The sequence below is a fragment of the Homo sapiens genome, chromosome 14 (assembly GCF_000001405.40).
Source record: "Homo sapiens chromosome 14, GRCh38.p14 Primary Assembly".
Classification (NCBI taxonomy): Eukaryota; Metazoa; Chordata; class Mammalia; order Primates; family Hominidae; genus Homo; species Homo sapiens.
The window spans coordinates 55,015,724-55,026,811 of NC_000014.9; the positions used below are offsets into that span (position 1 = coordinate 55,015,724).

Sequence of the window (11,088 nt, forward strand, 5' to 3'; positions counted from 1 at the left end):
AGTCTCACTCTGTCGCCCAGGCTGAAGTGCAGTGGTGCTATCACAGCTCACTGCAACCTCTGCCTCCCGGGTTCAAGTGATTCTCCTGCCTCAGCCTCCCAAGTAGCTGGGACTGCAGGCGTGCGCCACCACACCCAGCTAATCTTTGTGTTTTTAGTAGAGATGGGGTTCCACCATGTTGGCCAGGCTGGTCTTGAACTCCTGACCTCAGGTGATCCACCCACCTCGGCCTCTCAAAGTGCTGGGATTATAGGCATGAGCCACCACACCCAGCCCCGATGGGCTTCTTGGTGTATCAGCAGATGCACTGGAGGAGACGTACAAAGTTACAGGTGCCAGTTGGTGGGACCAATGGAAAATTATAGTGAAATATAGTAGAATTAATAAGAAATAAAGGCAGAAAATAGAGTTAAGCAATCTTCTAAAGAGCTTTTAGAGTAGTCTGAATGTTTTTCTAAATGGTTTTGTCCTTTATTGTATCAAATAACTAACTACATATTAATTTTATTGATTGCTATGCTTTTGAAATTTTGGGAAAAAAATGAAAACCAACACAACCCTTTCAGTGGTAATGAGCTAAAAAAGTATATCAAGTACATATTTAATAAAAGATTAAATACTAAATTTCTTCTTCTCAGGAAAGTTGATAATGAAAATATAACTTGAATAAAATGTTTGTTGACATTTACCACGGGGCTACAGTCATACTATAGTGATAACACCAACCACAAGAAAATTAGAAGAGAAAGAAGTCCCGAAGAAGCATCAGTATCTATTCAAGTTAGTAGTTATCTTGAGAAGGCTGCCTAAAAACTGTGATTCTACTCCTGCAGAAGGTGATTTATATCTTGTGAAGCATGATTCTTCCTAAGAACTCAGTGCTCTCCAAAACAACTTTCTGAGGTGATGAAAATGGTCTATACCTGGTACTGAGCAATTGAAATGTGGCTAATGTGACAGACAAACTGACTTTTTAACGAAGTTAACCTTAATTGATTTAAACCTACATAGCTGCATGTGGCTAGTAGCTACTGTATTGGACAGCGCAGCATTAAAAGAAATGTCAGTTGTTCTAAAATAATTTTGTTCATTTTTCATTCCAAGTTTTCTGGTGCAAGCATAAAAAGTGAAGTGACTGTTAATGGGTTGTCTCCATTATCAAAAGAACTTTCAGATGAGATCAGGTGCGTTCAGGGTGGTATGGCCATAGACAGCAAAAGAACTTTCAAACAGTTAAATGATAAAAGTATTATATCAATGTCATCAGGAGTTTTAAATAGAAAATCGCCCGTATTAATTCCAATAATAGTTTAGTTTACTCTTCAGTTCATGGAAACAAAGTAAATCTTCTGGAAGTTCATTCTGCTGAAAGTGAAATATCTGACATCAGTGGGGATTCTATCTAAATTTATTTGAAAAGTTTAACACTAATGATAAAATTCTTAATTTTTACAGTAATACAAATACAAACTTTGGCAGGAAATAGCGTTCAGCAGTCCTGCGAAAGAAGTGCTTTTAGAGTAGTCTAAACATTCTTCTAAATGGTTTTATCCTTTATTGTATCAAATAACTACATATTAATTTTATTGTTTTCTACAGTGCTGTAGGAAAAATCAATATTCTTTTTTTTTCTTTTTGAAACAGGGCCTTGCTCTGTTGCTCAGGCTGGAGTGCAGTGGCACCATCTCGGGTCACTGCAACCTCCACTTCCCAGGTTCAAGTGATTCTCCTGCCTCAGCCTCCCAAGTAGCTAGTATTACAGGCACGCACCACCCACACCTGGCTAAATTTCGTATTTTCATAGAGATGGGGTTTCACCATGTTGGCCAGCCTGGTCTCGAACTCTTGACCTCAAGTGATACACCTACCTCAGCTTTCCAAAGTGCTGGAATTACAGACGTAAGCCACTGCACCCAGCCAGAAAAATCAATGTTCTTACTATATTAGGAAATCTGTGAAACACAAAAGTACTTGAATTTGGAATTACAATTCATGATTCTATCCAAATGAGCTGCAAGATAACACACCAACAAAAAAGAAGCCATACTTGTCAAATTTTCAGATTTTATTTATATCTAGAATTGCTGAACAACAGAATTTTTGAAAAAAACATGTTTTGTTTCTGTTTTTGTTGCCCAGGCTGGAGTGCAGTGGCCCTACCACGGCTCACTGCAGGCTTGACCTGGGCTCAAGCAATCCTCCCACCTCAGCTGCACACAAATCAATGTGATATACAGAAAAACTACTAGACCTCCTGGCCTCAAGCAATCCTCCCACCTCAGCAGCGCACAAACCGATGTTAATTAAATACACAAAAAATACTAGCATTGCAGGACATACTTTCTCCCTCTGCTTGGAGTGATTGGGTTTTTAAAATCTTTAAGCCTTTGAAGAGCGAGCGACTCTGTAAAACAACCTAAGTGTCCTACTGTAATAATGGTATTATTATTATTAGAAACAAGTCCTCTAAATCTTAGTTGCATTTAGTTGAAAACAGACATCTTTAATCAAAGCATTAAACTTAAGCTTTTGAAGCTTTTAGTGAAATGCAATTCATGAAAACAAAACTTATGCACAGGAAGACACTGAAATTTATCCCTACAAAAGCAAATAAGAATTGAACAAATTGTACATGAAAAGCTGAAATGGTGAATGATTTCATTTTAAAATTCTGTAACTGTACTTTGGAATATCTTGACTTGTGGGAAGAATATTTTGATAGAACTCCTATTTTTAATTGTATTAATTTATGTTCTGTGCCAGAATGAAATAAAAGAGTAGGCTTAAAATCTGTGAAACATCCAAAAGAATCATAGACAACTTGATGAATTTTGTCCTTAAAAACAGTGAAGACCCTATTATTGAAGAAGTGTACCCTGAATGGAGATAAAAAGACAGAACCTATAAAAATACTGAGGCTGAAGTATTTACCCATTTCAATTAAAACAAATTCTTAAAAATTATGACTCTCCCAGCTAGTAGAATTTGCTCTGAGCCTGCCAAGTACCTTAGAACCTAACATTTTTCTCATTAAAAAATATTATAGTCTAGGCCAGGCATGGTGGCTCACGCCTGTAATCCCAGCACTTTGGGAGGCGAGACCAGCCTGACCAACAATGGAGAAACCCCATCTCTACTAAAAATACTAAATTATCCAGGCATGGTGGCGCATGCCTGTAATCCCAGCTACTTGGGAGGCTGAGGCAGGAGAATTGCTTGAACCTGGGAGGCAGAGGTTACAGTGGGCCGAGATGGTGCCATTGCACTCCAGCCTGGGCAACAAGAGTGAAACTCTGACTCAAACAAATAAAAAAAAGAAAAGAATTGAAGATTTAACTTCAAATTTATTCAGCATAAAATGCAACTCTAAACAAGGCTACAGCTAATTTTTTATGAGAAAAATTAAAATAACACTGTATTAAAAATATATTTTTCAGAAAAATATCAGCAATACCATGGGACAGACAGGCTAAGAAACTGATTAAAGCACATAAATATGTACCAGAAATGATTATCTTACATATGTTAACATTTAGATCATATGTTTAATGTTTGGATAATCAATGTAAATAAATATTTTTATTTTTTTCTTAGGTAAACTGGGTAAGTTGTTAATTTACATATTCCTAGAAAATTATACCTTTGTTTCAAATTTTCAAAACTATTGGCATAAGGGTGTCAATGTATTCACGTATTTTGAAGCCTATATTGTACCTTTTTTATCTCTAATATTATTTTATTTGTGCCTTCTCTTTTTTGATTCATGACTCTTGCTAAAGCATTGTTCTACTAGGTTCTACCCCCAATAAACCAGATTTTAGTTATAAGATGTATGGGATTTACTTTAAAATAATAAAGAGTAAGGCGGGGTGTGGTGGCTCATGCCTGTAACCCCAGCACTTTGGGAGGCCAAGGCTGGTGGATCAATTGAGGTCAGGAGTTCAAGACTAGCCTGGCCAACATGACGAAACCTTGTCTCTACTAAAAATACAAAAATTAGCCAGCTGTTGCGGAGGGCATCTGTGATCCCAGCTACTTGGGAGGCTGAGGAGAGAGAATCACTTGAACCCAGGAGGCAGAGGTTACAGTGAGCCGAGATCGTGCCACTGCACTCCAGCCTGGGCGACAGAGCTAGACTCCATCTCAACAAAAAAGAAATCCGCTATCAGTGTCTGGGCATGAAGATTAATTATATCAAGACTTCATCAGCTTTATGACATAACCTCAAGGAGTCAATGATTACCAACGCATTTCTTACTACCTCAACTCTATCCTCAGAGAGCAACATTCCTTCCCTAATCTGACCACCTCTTCTTGACTCTTAATCATTGAGTCTCATGAGGTTCATGGTGAGGCACAAGCAAAATCTCTATATACTCAGCTTTCTTTCTGGTCATTCTTCTGGGGTCACTGCTTCCTCTTCAGCCCTCTTAAGTAGTGACTGATTACTTTCTATACCCCACTGGTACTAGAGACAAAATCAAAACCACGTAGTGTCAACCTCACTAATTCAAATTCCTCCCCTTCCATTATCTTGAATCCACTTCAAGGTTTTCATTCTTACCATTCCATAAAACTTGCCAATGGCCTCCACATTGCTAAATCTAATGGTGAATTCTCAGTCTTCAACCTGACTCACCAGGAGCATTTGACAGAGTCTATTATTTCCTGTTCCTCAAACACTTCATTTGGCTTCTAAACATCCTTCTTGTCTTTCAGTTCTCTACTTTTCTAGCTACTCTTTCTTAGTCTCCTTAGCTGGATCCTCTTTAACTTGATCTCTAAATATTTTGGAGTATCCTTGAACCTCTTTTCTTACCTATATTTACTCCTTCCCTAGGTGACTTCATCCAAGTTCACAGTAATAAATATTATGTTTATAAGGACAATTCTCACATTTATATTCTTAGCCAGAACCTCAACCCTGAACTCTGGAAGGTATCAGCCAAAGATGTAAAGGTGACCCTTGAACAACATGGGCATTACAGGTTCCAACCCCTAAACAGTCAAAAATCCACATAGAAGTTTTGATTATCCTAAAACTTTACTAACAGCCTACTGTTGAGTAGAAGCCTTACTGATAACATAAACAATTAACACATATTTTGTCTATGTATTATATACTGTATCTGTACAATACAGCAATATAGAGAAAAAATATATCAGGAAAATCATAAAGAGGAGAAAAAATATTTACTATTTATTAAGTGGAAGTAGATCATCATAAAGGTCTTCATCCTTATCGTCTTCACAGTGAGAAGGCTGACGGGGAACACGAAGAGGAGTTGGTCTTACTGTCTCAGAGGTGGAAGAGGGGGAGGAAGTAGAGGAGGAGGCAGGAGAGGCAGGCATACTTGGTGTGACCTTATAAAAACACATCATAATTTCCGTCTGACTCTTTTCCTTTTTAATTTCTCTAAAAATGTTTCTATACAGTACCAATCCTTCTTCCACCATTTCCTTTAGTTTCAGTGCTCATAACATAGAAGGGTCTATGTTGTAAAATAAGTCAAAAGCAGTCTTGAATAATCAGAACCCTTCTGCCAGATTGCCTAAAGTCAATTTGTTTTCTGGCACTACTTCTTCTACATCTTCTTCCTTATCACTTGGCAGTAGTTAGGAAGAACTCATTTCTATCAAATTGTCTTCTGCTAACTCTTCGGTTTAGTGTCTATTAGCGTTCCTTTTTTTTTTTTTTGGAGACAGAGTTTTGCTTTGTTGGCCAGCCTGGAATGTGCAGCGGCACAATCTCGGCTCACTGCAACCTCCACCTCCTGAGAGAAGGTGGAGTGTGGGATTACAGGCGTATGCCAACATACCCAGCCAATTTTTTATGTTTTTGGTAGAGACCGGGGTCTCATCATGTTGGCCAGGCTGATCTCAAACTCCTGACCTCAAGTGATCCATCTGCCTGGGCCTCCCAAAGTGCTGGGATTACAGGTGTGAGCCACCGCGCCCAGCCATGTCTGCTACCTCTTGAATGTCTCCAAGGTCTATATCTTGAAATTACTTCGCTCCCTTATCTTTTTTGCCATACCCACAATCTCCTTCATGATTTCCTTGACTGGCTCTGCTGTCAATCTTAAGTCATGCACAACGTCTGGACACAGTTTTCTCCAGCAGGAATTTGTTTCGGGCTCGATGGCCTTCAGAGCTTTTTCTATAACAATGATGGCATCTTCAATGGTATAATCCTTCCAGACTTTTAGGATGTTCTCTCTACTGGGGTTCTCTTCCATAGCAATGACAATCCTTTCCATAGATTAGTTTATGTAATGAGCCCGTAAAGGCCTGTATGAACTCCTCATCTAGAGGTTGAATTCGAGACATTGTGTTTGGGGGCAAGTATACCAGTTTGACACCTTCAGTATTGAACTTATGGTGTTCTGGGTGGCCAGGGGCATTGCCCAACATTAAAAGAATTTTAAAGGCAGTCCCTTACTAGCAAGATACTTTCTGACTTCAGGCACAAAGCATCAGTGAAACCAATCCAGAAAAGAAGGTTCTCATTGTCTAGGTCTTTTTGTTATACAACTAAGAGACTGGAGTTTATCTTTTCCCTTCAAGGCCCGGGGGTTAGTAGCTTTATAAATAATGGCAGTTCTGATCACAAATCTGATTGTATTTGCACCAAACATTAGAGTTAGCCTTCCTGCCTTAAATCTTAGTGCTCACTTTCCTTCCTTACTAATAAATGTTCTTTGTGGCATTTTTCCCCCCACAGAATAGGGCACTTTAGTCTACATTAAAAACCTGTTCACCAGCCTGGCCAACATGGCAAAACCCCGTCTCTACTAAAAATATAAAAATTAGCTGTGTGTGGTGGTGTATGCCTGTAATCCCAGCTACTCGGGAGGCTGAGGTAGAAAAATCGCTTGAACCCAGGAGGCGGAGGTTGCAGTGAGCTAAGATCGCGCCACTGCACTCCAGCCGGTGAGACAGCTAGACTCCATCTCAAAAAAACAAAACAAACAAACAAACAAAAAACCTGTTCAGGCAGATGTCCTTTCTCCTCAATGATTTTCGTAATGGTGTCTGGGAATCTGCTGTCTCTTGGTCAGCAGAAGCTGATTCTATTGCCATCTTGACCCTTTCTCTTTCTTTTTTTTTTTTTTTTTGAGATGGAGTTTCGCTCTTGATCCCCAGGCTGGAGTGCAATGGCATAATCTTGGCTCACTGCAACCTCCACCTCCCGGGTTCAAGTGATTCTCCTGCTTCAGCCTCCTGAGTAGCTGGGATTACAGGTGCCTGCCACTGTGCCTGGCTAATTTTTTGCATTTTTAGTAGAGACAGGGTTTCAACACGTTGGGCATGCTCTGACCTCAGGTGATCCACCCACCTCGGCCTCCCAAAATGCTGGGATTACAGGTGTGAGCCATCACACCCGGCCATCTTGACATTTTCGAAGCCAAATCTCTTTCTGATATTATCAAACTATCCTCTGCTGGTATTAAACTTTCCAGCTTTAGATCCTTCACCTACCTTTCACTTTAAGTTGTCAGATAATGACTTCACTTTTTCTGGAACCACATTAGAGTCTATAGCTATGCCTTTCTATTGCAATCCTATACCCACATAAAAGCTGCGTTTTCAATACAAGATAAAGTTATTTCACAAAAAGTGCAAGGTTTTCATGCCTGCTGGCATAGCTGCAGTAACAGTGTCTCAAATTTCCTTTTCACAGTGGTCCTTACACTGGATTCATTTATCTTGAAATTGTGAGCAACCGCAACTGCAGACCTCAATCTACAGTACATTATCAGGCAATTCAACTTTTCTCTCTTAATGTCATGACTTTTGTCTGCTTCTTAGGAGTATGTCCAGCATCACTAGTGGCACTTCATATGATTCCCATGGTGTTATTCAAAGTTTACGGCATTGGACTAAACATGATGAAAAATATATGAGAATCACCAGAGATGTCTTTTTACTGGGATAGGCAATTTACTGGAGAGACAAACTGCTCATGAGCATCATACAGTGTTTTAAGCAGATACAACCTCATACAGTGTTTTAAGCAGATACAACACTTAAGCTTACCGAAATAGCAACAGGAGGTGGCTATGAAATTATTACAGTAATACAGTATATACTACAGTTAATTTTATGTAGTGACGATTTAACACTGCATCTTTATGTTTGTTTACATTTCTCTTGACTGCGGATGGTCTGGAAATGTTTGAGTGTGTAAATTTTAGTACATTTCAACTTTTTATAATAGATTTGTGTATATTTTATGGTAGTAAATGATAAAATACGCTAGTATCTACATAGATTTTATGCACTCATGACATACTTTTTCTTAATTTTTCCATATTTCTAGGCTACATGGTTCGTCTGCTAGTTTTTTCAAATTGTTAGAAACTGCCAAAAATTTTCTAATATGTGTATTGAAAAAAATCCACGTATAAGTAGACATACACAATTCAAATTCATGTTAAGGGTCAATTGTATATTTCTATCTCTAGCTCACATTTTTCTCTGAGCTTGAGACACAATTATCCAACTGTCTACTTTATCCCTCTAGGTGAATATCTCAAAGAAATCCTACAATAATCACATCCAAACGCAAACTCAATCTCCACCCACAGCTCTACCTCTGAAATACGCCCTTCTTCAAGTGTTCCTGTTATTTGCAAGTGGAAGCATCACTTTCTCAACCGTAACATTCAGAAATGTAGACGTTATCCCTGTTGCCTCTTTCTCCATCCTTAATATCTGATCCATCCTGTTGACTTTATCTTTTTAAATATTTCCTGAATGTTTACTCTTTTCTACACACCCATGTTTACTCTAGTCCAAGCTTCTATCACACTTACCCAAACTTGTGGGGAAAAGCAAGAGAGATCAGATTGTTACTGTGTCTGTGTAGAAAGAAGTAGACATAAGAGACTCCATTTTGTTATGTACTAAGAAAAATTCTTCTGCCTTGAGATTCTGTTAATCTATAACCTTACCCCCAACCCCGTGCTCTCTGAAACGTGTGCTGTGTCAACTCAGAGTTAAATGGATTAAGGGCGGTGCAAGATGTGCTTTGTTAAACAGATGCTTGAAGGCAGCATGCTCCTTAAGAGTCATCACCACTCCCTAATCTCAAGTACCCAGGGACACAAAAACTGCGGAAGGCCGCAGGGACCTCTGCCTAGGAAAGCCAGGTATTGTCCAAGGTTTCTCCCCATGTGATAGTCTGAAATATGGCCTCGTGGGAAGGGAAAGACCTGACCGTCCCGTAAAGGGTCTGTGCTGAGGAGGATTAGTAAAAGAGGAAGGAATGCCTCTTGCAGTTGAGACAAGAGGAAGGCATCTGTCTCCTGCCTGTCCCTGGGCAATGGAATGTCTCGGTATAAAACCCGATTGTATGCTCCATCTACTGAGATAGGGAAAAACCGCCTTAGGGCTGGAGGTGGGACCTGCGGGCAGCAATACTGCTTTGTAAAGCATTGAGATGTTTATGTGTATGCATATCTAAAAGCACAGCGCTTAATCCTTTACATTGTCTATGATGCAAAGACCTTTGTTCACGTGTTTGTCTGCTGACCCTCTCCCCACAATTGTCTTGTGACCCTGACACATCCCCCTCTTCGAGAAACACCCACAAATGATGAATAAATACTAAGGGAACTCAGAGGCTGGCGGGATCCTCCATATGCTGAACGCTGGTTCCCCGGGTCCCCTTATTTCTTTCTCTATACTTAGTCTCTGTGTCTTTTTCTTTCCTAAGTCTCTCGTTCCACCTTACGAGAAACACCCACAAGTGTGGAGGGGCAACCCGCCCCTACACAAACTAATACAGGTATCTTCTAACAGTCTTTCTGCATCCATGAGTGCTCCTTTTCCAATTCATCCTCCATGCATTTTCTCAAAAACAAACCTGATCACATCTCTCTGCTTCAAGCCTTTAATACCTTCTCAGTGCTTTTAGGATAAAACGAGATTCCTTAATAAAGTCCAGAAGGTCTTGGATAGGACATCCATTGCCTAACTTCACAGATTCATCTCTCACTAAACTCTGCATCACTCTCCACATTTTAGTAAGGCTAGTTTTCCTTCAGTTCTTTGAGCATACCATGATCCCTGGCCCCATTGGGCCTTTACACACAGTATTGCCTCTGCTTACTATGCCAACATCACCACCCCACCGCCACCACCACTCATCTCTTTATACTGCTTAATGCCTGCTCCGTCTTCAGATGGCGTCTCAAGAAACACTTGTCCAAAGAAGCCTTCCCTGACTCCTTTAACTAGATGAGCTTCTCCTCATACATGTTTATCACTGCACATATTACTTGTTTCTAAATACACATTTATTTTTGTGATTAATTTGTGTTCAATGCCTGTCAATCCAAAAAGACCTTAAGCTCAAAGGAGGAAAAGACTGTGTCTGGTTCGCTCTATTCTATCTGTAGTCCCCAGCAAAAGAGACACACAAGTATTTTTTCAATGAATCAATCAACATAGAAGCGACAGTGGAAGCCGTGCAATCGAGCAGTAGTGCGTAAGAATGGGACTTGGAAAGATAAAAGGGACCAGAATAACCGTAGGAAAATATTATAGTTTAGGAATCAGAGGAAAAAATTGTTTTAAGCCGTCAAAAAGTTAAAAAAAAATAAGCAAAAAGGGAAATAGCATCACTAAAGGCATGGAAGGATATCATTCCAAACAGAACAGGCCACTGAATTTGACAAGTAGGCAGTAACTAGTGATCTGACAAAATTAATAATGTAAGATGCAGGGAAGGGGAAAATATATGGAGAGAAGCTCGCATCTTTCCAACTCCTCTGGAAGTACGATTATAACTTTGTCGATATACTACAACTACCATGACGGCCCGAATCAAACAATAATCTAAAGAAATATGTGTGCCATTTTAGATTTCAACATTATTCCTCTATCCGCATGAGTCATTTTTAGCTGACTGCACATATAAAGTTTAAGGATAAATGTTTTAACATTTGCACCTAAAACGTTGTTTCTCAAAGAACCTTACCTCCCAGAATCATCAAAACAGACCTCCGTGTGTCCCTCTGTATGCCCATATCTCATTGGCTTCCGTGTGGCAGGCATGTTTTCCTTTACCTATCTGAAAAT

At 39.6% G+C, this 11,088-nt stretch overlaps 1 protein-coding gene across 3 annotated transcripts in view; it reads right to left on the reverse strand.

Moving 5' to 3' along the window:
- WDHD1 (WD repeat and HMG-box DNA binding protein 1) overlaps positions 1 to 11,088 on the reverse strand; it is an 88,151-nt gene that overhangs the window by 76,775 nt on the left and 288 nt on the right. For 2 of the 3 annotated variants that reach the window (XM_006720012.2, NM_007086.4), the window contains exon 2: positions 10,988 to 11,080. The exons of the other annotated variant lie outside the window; for it this stretch is intronic. In XM_006720012.2, coding sequence (XP_006720075.1) covers positions 10,988 to 11,064 — 77 coding nt within the window. In that variant the 5' untranslated portion in view covers positions 11,065 to 11,080. The remainder of the gene's footprint in view (positions 1 to 10,987; positions 11,081 to 11,088) is intronic. 3 annotated transcript variants of the gene reach the window in all.